This window comes from Homo sapiens, chromosome 14 (genome assembly GCF_000001405.40).
Source record: "Homo sapiens chromosome 14, GRCh38.p14 Primary Assembly".
NCBI classification, from domain to species: domain Eukaryota; kingdom Metazoa; phylum Chordata; class Mammalia; order Primates; family Hominidae; genus Homo; species Homo sapiens.
The window spans coordinates 57346885-57366740 of record NC_000014.9 but is presented as its reverse complement, the minus strand read 5'-3'; the positions used below and the strand labels follow the sequence as shown (position 1 = coordinate 57366740).

Here is a 19856-nt window from a genome sequence, read left to right as displayed (position 1 = left end):
CTTTAGCTGGCAAACCTGCTCTGTAACCTCTTCTGTTACTTCGTTATACTCTCCTTCCTCCTCATCATCAGTGTGAAAAAGTTCCAAGGTGGAATGAACCAGAGCCCACACTTGTCCCATTGTTACCCTGACACTTCCGAGCTCCCCTTCTTACTCATCACGGGGATTGCTTTAAGAGTACTCGGGTGTCCTCCAGCTTAGTTCCACATTCTCCAACTGTTGCTCCAGTGACCCTTCGACCTGGATTAGAGCCCCCACGTACGGGCACCGCTTGCTGAGACCAGCTCGGTCGGGGAAACCCTAACCCAGCAGTGCTAGGGGAATTAAAGACACACACACAGAAATATAGAGGTGTGGAGTGGGAAATCGGGTCTCACAGCCTTCAGAGCTGAGAGAGCCTCGAACAGAAATTTACCCACGTGTTTATTAACAGCAGACCAGTGATACACATTGTTTCTATAGATATTAGATTAACTAAAAGTATTCCTTATGGGAAACAAAGGGATGGGCCAAAATAAAGGTATGGGTTTGGCTAGTTATCTTCAGCAGGTGCATGTCATTAAGGCACAGATCACTCATGCTATTGTTTGTGGTTTAAGAACGCCTTTAAGCGGTTTTCTGGCCTGTGTGGGCCAGGTGTTCCTGCCCTCATTCTGGTAAACCCACAACCTTCCAGCGTAGGCGTCACGGCCATCATGAACATGTCACAGTGCTGCAGAGATTTTGTTTATGGCCAGTTTTGGGGCCAGTTTATGGCCAGATTTTGGGGGGCCTGTTCCCAACAGGTTTTTCCTCATCTTCGTGGATTTATCTACCTTTGGTCTTTGATGTTGGTGACCTTCAGATGGGGTTTCTGTGTGGACGTCCTTTTTGTTGATTTGGATGCTATTCTGTTTGTTAGTTTTCCTTCTAACAGGCCCCTTTGCTGCAGGTCTGCTGGAATTTGCTGGAGGTCCACTCCAGACCCTGTGTGCCTGGGTATCACCAGCAGAGGCTGCAGAACAGCAAAGTTCGCTGCCTGTTCCTTCCTCTGGAAGCTTTGTTCCAGAGGGGAACCCACCAGAAGCCAGCCAGAGCTCTCCTGTATAAGGTGTCTATTGACCCCTGTTGGGAGGTGTCTCCCAGTCAGGAGGCACGGGGGTCAGGGACCCACTTGAGGAGGCAGTCTGTCCCTTAGCAGAGCTTGAGCGCTGTGCTGGGAGATCCTCTGCTCCCTTCAGATCCGGCAGGTAGGAACATTTAAGTTTGCTGAAGCTTCGTCCACAGCTGCCCCTTCCCCCAGGTGCTCTGTCCCAGGGAGATGGGAGTTTTATCTATAAGCCCCTGACTGGGCCTGCTGCCTTTCTTTCAGATATGCCCTGCCCAGAGAGGAGGACTCTAGAGAGACAGTCTGGCTGCAGCGGCTTTGCCGAGCTGTGGTGGGCTCCACCCAGTCTGAACTTCCCTGCAGCTTTCTTTACACAAAAAACAAAGGGAAAACCGCTTACTTAAGCCTCAGTAATGGCTTACGCCCCTCCCCGCACCAAGTGCGAGCTATCCCAGGTAGACTTCAGACTGCTGTACTGGCAGCCAGTATTTCAAACCAGTGGATCTCAGGTTGCTGGGCTTCGTGGGGGTGGGATCCTTTGAGCAAGACTACTTACTTGGCTCCCTGGCTTCGGCCCTCTTTCCAGGGGAGTGAATGGTTCTGTCTCGCTGGTGTTCCAGGTGCCACTGGGGTACGAAAAAAAACTCCTGCAGCTAGCTTGGTGTCTGCCCAAATGGCCACCCAGTTTTGTGCTTGAAACCCAGGGCCCTGGTGGTGTAGGCACCTGTGGCAATCTGGTCTGTCCGTTGCGAGGATCATAGGAAAACCGTAGTATCTGGGCCAGATAGCACCGTCCCTCACTGCACAGTCCCTCACAGCTTCTCTTGGCTAGGAGAGGGAGTTCCCCGACCCCTTGAGCTTCCTGGGTGAGGCAATGCCCCACCCTGCTTTGGCTCGCCCTCCGTGGGCTGCACCCACTGTCTAACCAGTGCCAATGAGACGAACCGGGTACCTCAGTTGAAAATGCAGAAATCACCCACTTTCTGTGTTGGTCTTGCTGGGAGCTGCAGATAGGAGCTATTCTTATACGGCCATCTTGCCCAGGAATCCTTGTGTACATATTTAACTGTAGCTTTTCTCCAAGAAAAATTTTTGTTAACTTTTTAAAAATTTTTTTATTTAGAGACAAGGTCTCATTCTGTCACCCAGGCTGGAGTACAGTGGTGCTATGGTAGCTCACTGCAGCCTTGAACTCCTGTGCTCAAGTGATCCTCCCATCTCAGCCTCCTGAGCAGCTAGGACTCCAGGCATGTGTCACCACACCCAGCTAATAAATTTTTATTAACTTTTAAAATTGTAAATAGTTATACATGTATCTGGTAAAATTTCCAATAATACCAAAGTTTATAGAATTAAAAGTAATCTTCCTTCCAACCAAAATTGTCAATCTTCCTCCCAAAGATAACTACAGTTATTGGTTTCTTACATATCATTTCAAAATAATCGTATTATATATAAGCATATGTATGTTATATATTACATTATACATTCTTCACCCCAAATAGAAGTATCCTATATATTCCATTGTATTTTTTATTTACATTCACTTGATAATATATATTGGAGCTCTTTTCCTATGAATTCATGTAGTTTCACTCCATTCTTTCTATTGACTGCATAATATTCCATTTTATAGATGAACCATAATTCAGTTAGTACCCTATTCATTGACACATATGTTTTCCAAAATTATTTAGCTATTTTAGGCTGGGTGCAGTGGCTCATGCCTATAATCCCAGCACTTTGGGATGCCAACGTGGGCGGATAACTTGAGGTCAAGAGTTTGATACCACCCTGGCCACCATGGTGAAACCCCGTCTCTACTAAAAAAATTAAAAAATTAGCTGGGCGTGGTGGTGGGCACCTGTCGTCCCAGCTACTCAGGAGCCTGAGGCAGGAGAATCACTTGAACCCAGGAAGGGAAGGTTGTAGTGAGCCAAGACTGCGCCACTGCACTATAGCCTGGGAGATAGAGCAAGACTCTGTCTCAAAAAAAACAAAAACAAAAATTATTTAGCTATTTTAAACAGCACAGCCTTGAATAGAGTTGTACATATATCTTTGAACACATGTGAATATTACTATTAGATAAATTCCTAAAAGCATAATTTTAAGCCAAAATTATGCACATTAAAAATTTCGGTAGCTGTGTTTCAAATCACCCACCAAAGACATTGTACTAATTTGCACCCTCACTGTACTAATGTATGGGAATGCTAGTTTTATTAAATCCATGTCAGTATGGCATATTATCAAACTGGAATTTTTAATTTATCTATAGGTAAAAAATGGTAACTAGAAAACTGGAAACTGGAAACTGCCTGTTACCGTCCATTCCCAGTTTTACACTGTGTTTTTTCCTAAGCATTCTTCCAGAAATGGTTAATAAGTTAACAGAGGATAACAAGACATTATCTAAAATTAGTTTCTTATAAGTTATTTGTCATTAGTATCTTTAAAAACACAGATTCCCTTCCCCTAACTTAATAAGCATCTACGGGAAGCTTTCTAAATGCAGAGCTGTACATTCTGGCTTTGGAGGGACAAAAAGATTAACTGGATAAAGGGTCTATCCCAGAGCTCACAATTTAATGGGAAAAATGTAAACAAAAAGACATGCTCTTAAAATATTATAAGGGCTGTGGGGGAGCATAAGAGGTGCAAGGGATTACTTTAAATAGATTGAACAGGGAAGGCTTAACAGAGTAGGTGCAATATGTCCTTGAGGGATAGAGTATTAGTTTTCTAGGCCTGTTGTAACAACCTATATGCCACAAACTGGGTGACTTAAAATAGCAGAAACTTATTGTTGAGATGGAGCAGGGACCCCTCTTAGGGGCCTGCCAGTTACCCCCTTCCCAAGCATGGAAATAAAGGAAAATTGTGGGTTCCTTTAAGGCAAATTCCAGGCATCTAGCTAGCCCTGAGAAGAAAATGAACAACTTGATAAGTTGAGAAGGTGACAATAGCTTAAAACAATAGCTAAGGAAGTTGGAGTCACAGATGTTTTGTTCCTTAAAGAAACTAAGGATAACATCTTCACATATGTCCTTGAGTTGTTTTTCAGAAACTCAGATCCCCACCAAGTGGATCTGCTGGCCTGTAGATCTCAGATAAGGGGGAACTGACCACTGAACTCTGACCACTGTTCTTTGTTCTAAATTCCTTCCTGAGGGGCCTGGAGGAAGTCATGCCCACAAATCAGACCTAAACATTCCTTTCTGCTGACCTCAAGTTTTTAGACAAAACTTTGCTTCCATAAGCAATTGCAAATCAGAGTCTTTGAATCCACCTATTACCTGTAAGCACCCCTACTTCAAGATGTCCCACCTTGTTAGGCCAAACCAATGTATAACCTCAATGTGTTGATTTACAAGTTTGCCTGTAACTTCTGCTTTCCTGAAATGTATTCCTGCCTTTAAAAACCGGTGCCTGTAAGTCACTGAGGAGGTCAGGTCTTAAGCATGGGCTGCCTGATTTTCCTTCTTGGTGCCTTGCAAATAAATGCCTGCCTTTCTCCCACTACAAAACCTCAGTGTGGATGTTTGGCTTTACTGTGCCAGGAAAGTGGACCCTGTTCAGTTTGGTAACATTGTCTCACAGTTCTGGAGGCTATAAATCCAAAATCAAAGTGTTGGCAAGGCCATACTTTCTGAGGCAGAATCCTTCCTTGCCACTCTCTAGCTTCCGGTGGTGGCTGTCAATCCTCATTGCTCCTTCACTTGCTGCTGCATGGGTCCAATGTCTGCCTCCATCATTGATGGCTGTCTTCACATCATCTTCCCTCTGTGCGTGTTGGTGTCTGTGTCCAAATTCCCCCCCCCCTTTTAATCAGAACACCAGTCATATTGAATTAGAACCCTCCCTAGTGACCTCATCTTAAATTAAGGATCTGCAAAGACCGGATTTCCAAATAAGTACATCCATAGGTACTGGGGGTTAAGACTTCAATGCATCTCTGGGAAAACACAATTCAACCCATAACAATGGGTAGGATTTTTTATTTTTTATTTTTTGAGACAGGGTCTTGCTCTGTTGCCCAGGCTGGAGTGCAGTGGCATAATCACAGCTTACTGTAGCCTCAAACTCCTAGGCTCAAGCAATTCTCCCATTTCGGCCTCCCAAAGTGCTGGGAGCCACTGTGCCCAGCCAAGATTTCAATAAAAGAGAATGAGGCATAAGCATTCTAGGTGGAGCATAAGTATTCTAGGAGAAAAGAATAAGATGAAGACTTATCAAGAAGAAGTACAGGGCATGTCCAGAAAATATCAAGTACTTTGTCTAGTATTGTGAGCAAGAGCATGTTGCAAGTGAGGGGGCTGTGGAAGAGGGCCTTGTGTCCATTTGCTCTCTGGGGAATGGCAACCACTGAAACTTTCAATCAGAGTGCATAGTTTAATCACTGTGCCTCAAGGATATTACTCTATGCTGTGTGTATGACGGATTGGATGGGGAAACTAGTGAAGGCAGGAGCACCAGAGAGGAAACTATTGTAGCTGCTTCCAAGATGTCAGGCAGCAAACCTTGAACTTCTAGTCTGTGAGTTATGTCGTCTGCACTCATCTTCATCCTCAGACCCTCTACCACTGGGGTATGAAAGGGCTGCTTGCTTCTGATTTGCAAACTCCCACAATCCAGATGGATCTCTCTTCCCCATCAGAAAAATTGTTTGAAATATACTCCTGTATTTCTTTATCAGACTGGGTTGCTTTATGAGTTGCAGTGTTGCACATTGCCAAATGTTACGCATGTTGCTTGTTCTAAAAGAGGCCTGGGGGTTGTTTAAGACTCTTTGGAAGGCCTTTCTTTCTGCTTTTTTCCTTAGCATTTTCAGATAGACTCACCAAAACATCTTGAACCAGAAAACGAAATTTGAAAAGCGTCTTCTCCTTTAAGTTCTTAAGAGCTTTTCTGCACCTTTTCTTCAAAAGAGCGTCTAAAAGTGGGTTAATGGCTGAATTAAGCAGTGCTGGCCAGGCAGATATTGTCTGCATCTGCGGAGGAAGCGTCCACCCACTGTTTACCATTGTGCTTGCCTGCGATATGCTTACAATTATGTAGGGGATCCAGCAACAAAAGAAAATAAAAGTCACCAGAAATAGATGAAAGGTACCATTGTATTCAGGAGCTGGGGTGGTGCTCATTTCAAAATCTTCTGTTTTCTGCTCTGAGGAGCAGAGGAGCTGGAGAAGTGTATAGTATCAGCCATAGTCTAAGACTGAATAGTGTTGCTATCTGGGACTGTTTCTCTTGAGATCCTTGTATACGTTTAGAATCTTCTTAGCACTTCTTTGCAGAGAAGGCTATCCTTGTCTTTTATCATTCTCAGCAATTGACTTTCAATACCCTGTAGCCAATTGGCTTGCTTCCTATCTATGTCTACTGCATAAACCTAACATGATGTACCAACACACAGAGAGGGAACGAGAAGAGCAAGATGCCATAAGCCTGATGGGTTAGTCTGAATGCCCAGTGTTGCAGGTAGCTGCCTAATATTTAAAAGGCTACCATGTTACAAAGAGGAAACTTTGACAAGGCAACATAAATTCAGATCCAAATCCCAGTGCTATAATTGTTTTAAAGGTACGCCATGTGCTGTGTCAAACACCATACAGCTACCTATAAACATTGTAGCTGATGCATATGCTCAAGGTATGCAACAGAGCGAAAAGCTATTGACCAGATAAGCTGAAGCAGGCTACATTCTAACTGACAAAACAGGATTTCTAATCACAAGGTGGTCCTGGTATCAAAGCTGAATTCAAAACATAAAAACTAAGCTAAAAATGTTTGTATCAAGATTAGCGATGCTAGATTATAATACATTTTTGAAACGCAATGTTATAAAGTCTAACCTCACATGTATTTATTGCCCTCTGGAAGAGTAGATACCAGTTTTTCAGAGAGTAATCTGACTTTAAGATCTAAATGACTTTTATAGACACTAATTTACAGTTTATTCATTTATTCAACATTTTTAGCCCCTTACGTTGGTAGGAGGTAAAGTGTTCCATAAGCTATTCAATTATCTTTTTAAAATAAACAGATGAATGCCTCAACAGCAAATATCAGGGTAGGAAAATTTACAGAAGCAATGCTTTTTAAAACTGTAAATAATAACCATGCTGCATTATCCTTGCATTCAAGAAGGTTGGGAAATATTCCTTTTAAGATCTTCTTTCCCTTAAAATGTAATAACAGGAAAGAAAAACATTTGGGACTGCTTTTTCTTAGTATTATGTGTACTCAGGAAATAAAGACATTTATTTAAAGAAGTATATGTATATATGTGTATATATACATTTATACACATACAGAAATATATATTAATAGCAATAACTCAATGAGATTTGTAGAAAATAATCACTTCAATTTTGCCTTTTTTTCTTTTTGTCTCCCTCCTTTTCTTTGATCTTCTTTCTTTTTGTTTTCTTTCCTGACTTTAGCTGTTTTCTCTTTTACTTCCATCTTCTCTTGTTAGCGTTTCTTCCTTTTCTCCCTTCCTTGCTTGTTTCCTTTTCACTTTTCTTTTTTTCCTTCTCCATCACATTTTATAAATACCATTTCATATGCAAGATAATTAGTAAATATTTCATTAATTGTTAAACATATATTAGTTATCAAATACTTTTATACAAAACTTCCTAAAACCTATGCTGTAACAATGATAGGAATAAAACTCATTAAGAAATTGTTTGTTCTTTTTCTCATTTTGCATAAAGTTTGCAGATAAATGACTTCATCTTTCTTATTCAAATTCCAGAATGTGAACATGAAAGGAAAATATAAAATTACTATATAATCAAAATGAATTTTAATGAGAATTTAAAAGAAAACACAGCTTCAGTGATATTGTTTCTCTTACTTGTATATTACCAAAAACAACACAACTGGCAAAATATTTGCCCATATATGTCAACCTTGGTTTACAGGAATATGGACATTGCAGAACTTAAATGTTTGGTGACAAGAAATACAACAATCATAAGAAAGTTTTTTTTTTAGGAAAAATGGTACCTGCAGATCAAAGCAAAACATCTGAGATGCTAGCAAAGCATGATTACTTCAAAGGTTGTTCTCTGAACAGCTGCGAATCTGCTTTAGGTATAAAGCTTGCAGGAACTTGAGCATCCTGAAAACATTCCAGATTAACTTCCCAGTTTGACAGAAAGCTAATTGCTTTCTGGCCCTGAAAGGGATGATAGTGTGAAACCTAAAGTTCAGAAATCAATTTCTAAAATATATCTTTTTTGGAGAATCTTTTCTTACATAAAAGCATGACTAGATACTGAATACTTTGTTAAGGAATTGAGTTTAATAAACAACCAATATTTAAACAAAGAAGAATGGCAGGCAGAGATGAGATTCTCATTTGTAAATGCATTAAATACCAAAGGTTACACCAGTAAAAACGAATGCTCTTTCCTTAAGTGTTTGCTGCTCAGAACACTCGCCTACTCTCCATCTCTTTCATTACTTTTGATCAAATTGCGTCAAGGCTGATTGATTATCATCTTCCCTCTAACTGCTAACTTTCTGAGACTTCTTCATTATGCTCCAAGGAGGACATCTTTATTACGAATAGCCTGGGGCGCAGATGAAGTATTGTTCAAAATTGATATTTCAATACAAGCACAATATACTTTTGTATTGAAGCGGAACGAATGTTAATCCCTCTTTGTGCATTCACATCATTTTCTCTCTTCTTTTACTTTATCTCAGTGATACAATTTTTTCTTCTACAGACCTCAAAATTTATTGCCCATGCTGTGCCCAGCATGTACCTACTAAGATTCGCGGGCTTCTTTTCCTACATGGATCCCTTTCTGCCAAATTCTGTGTTTACTGTACATTGAGGCTTTCTTCTCCCTCACTTTCACATTATAGTACAACTCATAAATTGCCCAACAGTAATTCATCAATGAGGTAAATTGTCCTCAGGATGGTTTATCCATGAGCATCAAGGATCTAATCCTATTGCTTGTTTAGGGCTAGCTTGAGACCTCTCCTGTGTTAAGAGAACTTTTGAAGAGTAGAGCCACGTTGTGCCCACCTGGGCATTAGCAAGGAAGTGAAACAGGGCCACCCTATGGGCAGGATTCCAGCTTCTGAGGCTGGCTCAGATCCCTGCTCAATCCCAGCTGAGAAGATCCACCGTTCTCCCCTTCATTGTCAAATAAATCCAGAACGAATTGCATGTCCTATTTTTGTGTAATGTTTAATCCTCACAATACCGAAGGTAGGAAAAGTAAAGATGTAATCAATCAGTATCGCCTTCCAAGGGAAAAATGAGTTATAAGAGGAAGATGAGCTTTAAGGCACTTTCCAGCATTATAAATCACTGTCCAAAGCATCTGTATTTGTAACTGTGCTTAAAGTGCTTATCAGGAAAAAACTATATGTTGTATCTGTAGATGGGATAATAATAGCTCTCATGTCATATGGTTATAATGAAGATTAAATGAGATAATTCTTGTAAAACACTTAACACAGTGCCTGTGTTAGTACTCAAAAATAGTAGTAGTTATTAGTATTAGCTATTAATTAGTATATTGTCCACTAGGCCACACTTGCTCACTATTTTATACAAAAGTCACACAAGGCTAGGCAGTGTTGTAAGTGTTTAAACTAAAAACAATAAGTAATTTTGAAGAGGCATATGTTTTTCTACCCAAATTTGTTGTTTAGTTGTTTTTTCTTAAACACTGATACTTGGTGAAGAAAATAGGTTGTCACTTTTAGGAACCTAAATTTTTATATTACATTATTACCAATAATGTGCTGTCCTGATCTTGAGACTGAGCGTTAGAACTGAAGATGAAGCAAGGAATAAAAATTACAACATAAACAAGTTTTACTTTCCTCCTTTTATCTCACTTTTTAATGTGAAACCATATAAATACTATCGTATTCTTCCATTCCAATAATGCTGAGGAATCTCAGAAATCAATGAAATGTACAAGAAGGTACATTGTGAGATTTGTTACTGGTTGTGACGTCCTGACAACCCACAGCTGTGATATTACTCCCCTTGGAGACATGATTATTTTTTGCCTATTAAGTACTGTGGCCTAAGAATATAGGAGCCTAATCTTTAAACACTTTTTCTCATTGTTTTCATGTTCCTTAAAAAACAAACCAGAAATATGCAGTCTAATACACTGCTACTGAGAGTCTACCTTGATATGACGTATTTGGAGATCTATTAAAACTTTAAGTGTGCATACTCTCCAATCCTGCAATTTCACTTATAGAAATTTTCTCTGGAGAAATACTTGCACAAATGCACAAAAACATATATATTAGGATGTTTACTAAAGCACTACTTGTAATAAGACAATACTGTCCCCAACTCAAAAGTCCATCAGTAGTGGTTAAATAAAATATGATGCATTCTAATAGTGGAATACTATGCAGTTGTTAAAAAGACTAAACTAAATGTTAATAGAAAAAAAAAATGAAGGAATGGACACCAAATCACTGAGTGGTTTTTCTCTAGGAGAGATATTATGGGGGATCTTTACTTATTTTTTCCATTATATGTCTTACTAATAGTTGAAATTTCAAAATAAGAATAAATTGCTTTTGTTAGCAGGAACAGATACACACATACATACACACATGTGTGTATTTAAATATACAGTAAAACAAATACATAAAAGAAAACCTCAAAGGAAAGTACCAGGTCAACCAGAGTGGTTAGTTGAAGTAAAACAGGAATAACATTTGATCTCCAGACTTCAAGTCTATTGTGTTCTTTTCTTATAAGAACAAATATTCTTAAGTATGACACGTATAGTATTGGTGTAACTATGAAAGGAAAAAGGCCATCAGATTTGGTAAACTTTTTTTCTTTCTTACGGTGTTGAAAACTCTTTGCTCTTTTCAAATTTAGCATTCTTTATGCCTGTAGGACTCCCTCTTCCTCTGTGCCTGGTCCCCTCTTGTTAATGAATCCCTTCCCTTACCCCTGCCTCCTCCCAGCCTCCTAGCCCCCTCCCCCATTTGAACAAACCATGCTGAATGGGCTTCTCTTGTAGCAAATGCAACTGAAAATTAGTGGCTACATGTAGCATGATGAAAAGGATTCTAAGGACAAATCTGGGACACAGTGTCATGATCAATTAGAGCATGAGTATCATGAAGATGATCATGCGCAGAGGTAGCAATAGTTTCATAGCTTTTCTTAGGGTTAAGGTCCCAGAGCATTAAGAAACTTTTGAGACCTGCCAAAACAAAAAGCAAAGTCCCAACACATTAAGCCAGTGTGTTCTGAGGAATAGTAATCTGCATCATGACTCTGCTTAGTGTCTAGGAGGGAAGGGACCTGGGGTTATACTGCTAACCACTGAGTCTGAGTTCTTTCTGTATTTAGTTTTGTTTGTTTGTTTTTGTACATAGACTTTGAGCTTCAAAGAGGACCATGGCTTACACCGAAGAGAATACAATTCAATAATTCAAGCATTGGGTTCAGAAAGAACTACACTAAGTCCTAGGACAATTATAGGTTGAACTGGATCAATAAAAGATAGGGCTTGCCCATAAGATTTCTGAACTTTCACTTGAACTTGTCCAAATCAGAAGTAGAAAGCTGGAATTGATTCAGAGAATTCTAGGGCACAGAGGCAAGGACGCTTGTGGGTAGTACAAGGTACTAAAACACTTTCATCACCCCTAAAAGAAACCCCAGACCATTAGCGGTCATTCTCCTCCTTCCCCCAGCCCCTTGCAACCACTAATCTTTCTGTCTCTATAGATTTGCCTTTTCTGAACACTTTGTATAAATAGAACCATACAGTATGTGGCCTTTGGTGGCTGGCTTCCTTCAGTAAACATGTCTTCAAGGTTCATCCATGTTGTAGTAGGAATCAGTACTCCATTTCTTTTTATGGCTAAATGATATTTCATTGGGCCAGGTGCAGTGACTCACACCTGTAATCCCAGCACTTTGGGAGGCCGAGGCAGGTGGATCACATGAGGTCAGGAGTTCAAGACCAGCCTGGCCAACATGGCGAAACCCCGTCTCCACTAAGAATACAAAAATTAACCGGGCATGGTGGTGCATGTCTGTAATCCCAGCTCCGTGGGAGGCTCAGGCAGGAGAACCGCTTGAACCTGGGAGGTGGAGGTTGAAGTGAACTAAGATTGTGACACTGCACTCCAGGTTTGTGACAGAGCAAGACTCCGTCTCAAGAAAAATAAAATAATATGGGCACTCAGTTTGTTTCCACCTCTTGGCTATTGTGAATAGTGCTGCTATGAATATTCACATATAAGTATTTATCTGAGTACCTGTTTTCAACTATTTTGCATATACGCCTACAAATGGAATTTCTGGGTTATATATTTCTGGGTTATATGGTAATTCTATGTTTATCTTTTTTTTTTTTTTTCGTGGAGACAAGGTCTCACTCTGATGCCCAGGCTGGAGTGCAGTGGTGAGATCACGGCTCACTGCAGCCTCGACCTCCCAGTCTCAAGCAGTCCTGGGTCTCAGCCTCCCAAGTAGTAGCTGGGACTATAGGCATGTGCCACCACTCCACTCCCTGCTAATTTTTCTTTTTTTTTTTTTTGAGACAGAGTCCCGCTCTGTCACACAAGTTTGAGTGCAGTGTTGTGACCTTGGATCACTGCAACCTCCACCTCCTGGGTTCAAGCAATTCTCGTGCCTCCGACACCCAAGTAGCTGGGATTACAGGCACGTGCCACCATGCCCGGTTAATTTTTGTGTTTTTAGTAGAGATGGGGTTTCGCCATGTTGGCCTGGCTGGTTTCGAACTCCTGGGATCAAGTGATCTGCCCGCCTAGGCTTCCCAAAGTGCTGGGGTTAGGGTGTGATCCACTGTGTCTGGCCCATGTAACTATTTTTATCCTCCAGAAATATTAGGACAATGTTGCATAAATCAGAAAAATTCATTGCTCACCCTCTAGTGTTATTTATGTCAATGAACAATCCAACAGGGCTAAAAAAGTCAATATTTGACTCTGGACCTGAGAAAAGAAGCTGTTTATTGCAATTTGGAAATTACATTTTCTGTGATATAAAATTTTTTATTAGGAGCATGACAGTTTATAATACCTGGAAAGTAGAAATGACTTTTTAATACAGTTTAAGTTAATGCAACATGAGTAGCTGAAGGCACAAATTAAAAGTCATTTGCTTTTTTATACTTAAAATATAGAAAAAGAAGAAATACTTTAATTTTAAAAAGTGTTCTGATAATCCACAGATTTCATGTTGTACTTTTTAAAAGTAAATCTGGTTTGAAAAAAAACCAACAACAACAAACATATTTAGCCTTGTTGAACACCCACAATAATAATGTTTGAAAAAAACTTACCTCTTAAAGCTATTAGACACAGGGAAAGCATTGTGAATATACAAATCTCTTTTAGTTCCAAAACTAAACTCTATTTAATTTTTTTTCTTAGGGATACACCAGGCAGAATGGAGAAACTGAGACATCCTGGCAAATTTGATGAGGTCCCCAAGGTCTCTAATTTGGAATACGTCCTCTAGCAACGACCTGAGGCTTAACATCTGCTGATTCTGTGCTACTGTAAGATAGTTCTTAGTTTACTGGGTCTGAAAAGCAGGTTTCTCTTTTAACCTCTGGGATTTCTTAACAGTTGCTACCGGTGGTATGATCACCTGATGATGTACTTTTAGCCAACTGTGTGTCATCATAGGGGTTTGTCTGTTTTAAAGAACATTCAAAGAAAAGGAATGGCTAGTCATACATAGGAGATCTTGTTAGCTGAGATTTAAGGGAGACTTAGAGAAAAGCTAACGGGAAAAGGACGTGCATTGTGGAGGAAGGGGTGGCGGCTGTGACAATATAAAAAACCATTATAAATAATAAAACTGAAAAAAAGATTTATGAAAACAGGTAAATGGTTGTTTTAGCTAGTGGTCAAATCCTTGGGAATCAGAGCTACAAAAGATAATTATGTGGATCTGCAAGCACTCTTAGAAACAGCAAAGGGTGTTTGTCTAACAGGCTGCAGGGGCAGAGTAGTGGTAGTGATAGCCATGGAAACACCGTCACTGGGACAGCTGGGTGCTACGAGGGGCAGCTGGATGGCTTGTGCACGCAGTGGAGGTGGGCTGGAGTTTTAACATAGCCAGTCATGTCCATGGCTCTCTGCAGCTAGTTCTAAATTGAATTTTGTTTCTTTGGTATGTTTTTCACTTGGGAAATTCAAAAACAGATTAACAGAGGAACCCACAGCATTGACATGTTTTGGATGCTGTGTAGAATTGATAAAAGAGTCCTCAGGATTCAGGCATTTAAACAAATTCACCTGCTTTACTCCTCGGGATTCTTAATATTTTTTAAAGCCTGTTCTGGATTTTATTTCATGAAATACTGTGTTACTCTGAGTTGTATGTGAACACACATACCACCCACATGGGGATGAATAAGGACATGATTTCAAATATATGTGATAAAAAAACCTTACCCCTTGACAGATATTACTTTCGTAATAGTATCTTTCCTCTCTTATATTAGATATCTAAGAATCTTGAAAGTTTTTCCAAAAACATGGGTTTCAAAATAATAGTATCCAACAAGGATGATTATGCTTATTACACTTAAAAGAGGCAGAAATGGAAATTGTTGGAACAATTTGTCCAACTGATCTAACAAATTCATGATTGAGCTGTAATTTAACCTAAATTGCTAGAGTCCCATCTTAATGATTTTTGCTGCTGCTTGTTCAGATAAAGGAATATTGATTTTAAGGTAATCACAGCTGAGATGTAGTTCATATTTCTAATAATTTTCTCAGCAATACTGTTTTATTTCTCACCTAGAAGTAAAAGCATGTGTAAATGTATTAAAATTGTATATTTTGGTGGTATGGTTTCTATATTTTCATAAATTAAAAAAATTATAAGATGGGGCTTAGAATGGAGTCATACTAATGAGAAATTTAAGATTTATTAATATATAAGATCCTTCTTATACTTTTATTTCTTGGATAAAAAGGTGAAGAAATCATGGAGTCTCAAAGAGGTAAAATATGCAATGATATTAATTAAGATCAACCTCAAAAGTAAAAAACATAAATACCCGTGTCTCCATCAAGTAAACTTGATAAATAAATTAGATAAACCAATGAGGTTTATCTAATTGGTTAGTTGAATTTTTTTTTTTTTTTTTGAGACAAAGTCTCTCTGTCACCCAGGCTGGAGTGCAGTGGCACAATCTCGGCTCACTGCAACCTCCGCCTCCCAGGTTCAAGAGAGTCTCCTGCCTCAGACTCCCAAGTAGCTGGAATTACAGGCGCCTGGCACCACGTCAGGCTAATTTTTGTATTTTTCGTAGAGACAGGGTTTTGCCATGTTGGCCAGGCTGGTTTCGAACTCCTGACCTCAAGTGATCCACCTGCCTCGGCCTCCCAAAGTGCTGGGATTATAGGTGTAAGCCACCGCACCCAGCCGGTTAGTTGAATTTTTAAATATTGAATTTTCAAATGACCATCTAGATGAACTAGTTCCTTTGCTCCAGCCAGAGGTACTGTTCATAGGCATAGATTACTTATACTAATTATCCTTCATTGATTTTCCTAAGATAAAAAAAGGATATAATAAATTACGCTAGATAACCTCCCTGGAATTATGTGAAAATTAATGAGATTATGGTTGTAGAGTTTCATTTTTGTGGATGGCCAAAAACAGTTGTTTTTTTCTTTTTTTTGGAGATAGTGTCTCGCTCTGTCACCCAGGTTGGGGTACAGTGGCATGATCATGGCTCATTGCAGCCTTGACTTCCCAGGCTCAAGTGATCTTCCTGCCTCAGTCTCCCAAGCAGCTGGGACTATAGGTGCGTACCACCATGCCCAACTTACTTTTTCATATTTTGTAGATGTGAGGTCTTGCCATATTGCCTAGGCTGTTCTCAAAATCCTGGACTGAAGCTACCCTCTCACCTCTGCCTCCCAAACTGGCATTACAAGCATGAGCCACTGCACCCAGCCCAAAAAATAGTTTTAAAAAATGACTAATTGAAATTAGTGTACTTTTTTGAGAAAAAAAACTTAAAGTGCATAACTAAACATACACAAAGAAAGATTATTCAAGAATTATAATAGAACAATTAAGTTTTTATTGACTTTGACATCAATGGCAAGTATACTTAAATATGCATACCTCACTATTGTCAATAAACTACATCATCACATTATTATCGACAAAAACAATAGCAAGACAAGCATCTTAATGAATGCAAAATATAATACACTTTGTAGTTGTATATTTTTATCAAAGTGTTCTCACATTTATTACTTTATTCTCATTTTAAATTAATGAATTATGTTATGCCTTACATATATTAACGTAACTAAAACTCTCAAATGTCAAAAAAAAAACCCAATTGAATGTTATCTACAGAGGTCTTTTACCAATTTTTTTAACCTAATTTTCAACTGTTGCTTGTTTAACCATCTCCTGTTTCACTGTCTCTATTTTTATGTTTTATTCTTTGAAATACTTCTGCTATCTTGGGGAAATCTTTATCCTTACCATCAGGATTCTTTTGCTTTTTCTTTCCTTCTCCCATTGAACAGGTCACTTAAAGCCTTCCTCAGTAACTGTTGCATATCCTTCCTTGGGGGACAAATTCCTGCTCTCTTTAAAAGTTTGTAGATACCAGCATTTTTGTTTTGTCTCAATTTTTCTTAAACTTGTAAGGATCTTTTAAATTGCTCTTTGAAATCCTTCAAATTCAATTTTACAAAATCAAACTTCCTCTGAAAATTTCTTTAGGAGATTTTGTTACTATTTTTGTTGAGCTTTATTTTCTATTCTTGCATCTCCCTCACAACATTCCCCTTCATAGATTCCCCTTCATTGAAATATGTCCTCTTTTTAATTTCCACCTTTTAAAAGGTGAGATATGAAGTATGTCTCTCACATGTTCTGGATTCTAACTACTAATTATTAAAACACAGCCACATTAAAATGCAAAATAGTTGCTGATTATTTAAGCCTACACTTCCTTCTTTCAGAAGTGGACATGGGGACCATCTTTTAAAGTTTGCGTTTGTTCCAGAGAGTGGTAGAGAGATCACCGTCTAGTGTTAATGCACCCTGCAGAAAGGAGGCATTCATGATAAATGCTAGGGACTATGGCAAACACACCCTCCAGTGATTCCCAATGAGTCACACCCTTGTATAATCTTCTCTTGTGTGCAGAAGTGGGTGACTCACTTTTAACCAAAAGAATGGGGGTATAACTCCTTTGAGTAGGTTATACTATTAATACATGGAAGATGTGATAAGATGCCACTGCTCCAATTATGTTTATTATATAAGACAATGTCTAACAGGCTGGTAGGAGAGATTCTTCCACTGACTTTGAAAAAGTAAGCTGCCCCATGTTGTGAGAGGTTTATGGCAAGGACCTGTGAGTGACCTTTAAAGACATCAGGGTGGCCTCTACCTGACAGACAGTAAGAATATGGGGCCTTCATGGATGAGGTGGGCTCACACATGTAATCCCAGCACTTTAAGAGGCTGAGGTGGGCGGATCACCTGAGGTCAGGAGTTTGAGACCAGCCTGGCCAACATGGCGAAACTCTGTCTTTACTAAACATACAAAAATTATATTTTTGTATAATTTTGTATAATTTGGGGTGTGGTGGTGGGCACCTGTAATTCCAGCTACTTGGGAGGCTGAGGCAGGAGAATAATTTGAACCTGGGAAGTGGAGGTTGCAGTGAACCAAGATTGCACGACTGTACTCCAGCCTGGGTGACAGAGCTAGACTCTGTCTCAAAAAAGAAAAAGGGGCCTTCAGTCATAAAGCTGAAAGAAATGAATTCTGCCCACAACCTGAATAAGCTTGCAAGCGGATTCTTCCCCAATTAACTCTCCAGATGAGAATGCAGCCCAGCTGACACTTTAATTGCTGCCATGTGAAACCCTGATCTGAGGACACAGAAAACCTTTTCCCAGGCTCCTGACCCAAAAACACTGTGAGATAATAAATGCATTTTGTTTTAAGCCTTTAAGTTTATGGTAGTTGCTTACAGAAATAGAACACTAATACAAGGATTGCCACTCTTTTCCCTAATGACAATTTCCAAAATATTCATAGACTTTCTTTCCTGTTATTTTCAATATTTTAATTTATATTTTTATGAGTTTTTAAATATACTTTAATTTGTTCTGTCTCTCATCAATATTAACTTCTTTATTTGGAACACATTCAAGTAATGGAATTTGCTTAACTAATAGATTTTTTTTTTAAGTATAGTACCTCTTGAATTTTGTAATGGGGCCAGATTCTGTTATTGATTTTTTTGCGAAGTAAATAGGCTATTAACATGCTTTTACACTTTCAAGGAAGTATAAGTTGCTTCTTTGAATTTTTAAAACTAGAATCATAAACTTTAATTAATGGCTTTAGCTCTGCACATGTATTATAACAATGATCATAATGTTTTGCTGCAAGACGAATTGTACTACTCAGGATATTTTCCATATTTCCCCAGTGTGTACTTTTCATTCACTGTATAACATAGAGCAAAGATAATAAAGATTTAATACGGAAACAAGTTTAAAATTAATGTGTCTCTTAGGTAATACAGGCTATATCTATTCATTCTAATTTATTTTAGGATACCAGAAATATCATATTCCATATTTTTATGTTTCACTACAACTGCTTCTTGAGTGAAGCAGGTATAAAAATGTAACTATATAGACTTATCAATAATTGTTTGTTGCTAACATAGAAATATCCTGAAGATACTATTTTCTGAATTGTCATTAAAATGAGTGAGTCAGCAGTAGACATGAAACCAAAGACTTCCCAAGATGATAACATGTCTTATTTTTGTGCTTCTTCATTTAGCTTTTCCCTTTGCCCCTCTGCCAAAGCTAAAGTCTTCCTTAATTTTGTGACGTTTCTACGAAACAGTGATATCAGTTTCTTCTTCAAAATTATTGATTTTATAAAATCTTAGAACATCGGTGTTGAATCAATTGGACTCCCTATACAGGTTATAAGAATACATAATCTCATCAGTACTATGGCTCCTGTTGTTCAAGATTTGTGCATTTTCTATTGATATGTTCAGTTGTGTAGTCAGACTCAGAAATCAGATCACTACTTCATTTTTGAAGTCATCTTGTATGGGAATTACCCAGTTATGAATTTCCCAGGAAATTATTTGTGGCAAATGATTGACTTGTATCTTCCAGAGACTTTGCTTCCACTATGGATATTGGTGCCTCTTGCATGTCTCATGATGTTTGTCATGGTCCATACTGGGGGATTCTGTGACTGACCATGAATGAAACAATCAGTGTCATTTTTACCTGCTTTATTTTTTAAAATTAGACTCTATATGAATTACTAAACATATATGAATTACTAGACCTACTGTGAAATAGCTATGTTGTTCACTCTTTCACATTATATTTTCTTACCAAGTTTTGGGAATAGGCTATAGAGATGGATCTTAAGAGAAAGTAATGGTTGAACAGTAGTCATCACAGTGTTATAAACTTCTTTAATGTCTTTATGTGCTACAGTCACAAATGATATTTGAACTTAATCCAGAGCAATTTCCATCTTGTTCAACTGAGAAAATGGTTCTTGTGGGAATTCTTTTAACTGATTCCACCTGCCACAGGGTATTAGCAGATTAGAGCAAACATTGGGAGGTGCCCTGTGTCATCTAAGTGAACAATGACACATTTGTTTGCTTTTCTACCATCAAGGATATTTGAAGGTCGACTTTTGAACAGAGTGTT

At 38.8% G+C, this 19856-nt stretch overlaps 1 annotated feature.

Annotated features, from left to right (window-relative positions):
* Positions 1470-2361: an enhancer, noted in NCBI's record as "NANOG-H3K27ac-H3K4me1 hESC enhancer chr14:57831098-57831989 (GRCh37/hg19 assembly coordinates)". NCBI's record gives its function as "activates a minimal SCP1, AML or CMV promoter by ChIP-STARR-seq in naive H9 embryonic stem cells {active_cell/tissue: H9 hESC(naive)}" and the evidence as "EXISTENCE:reporter gene assay evidence [ECO:0000049][PMID:30033119]".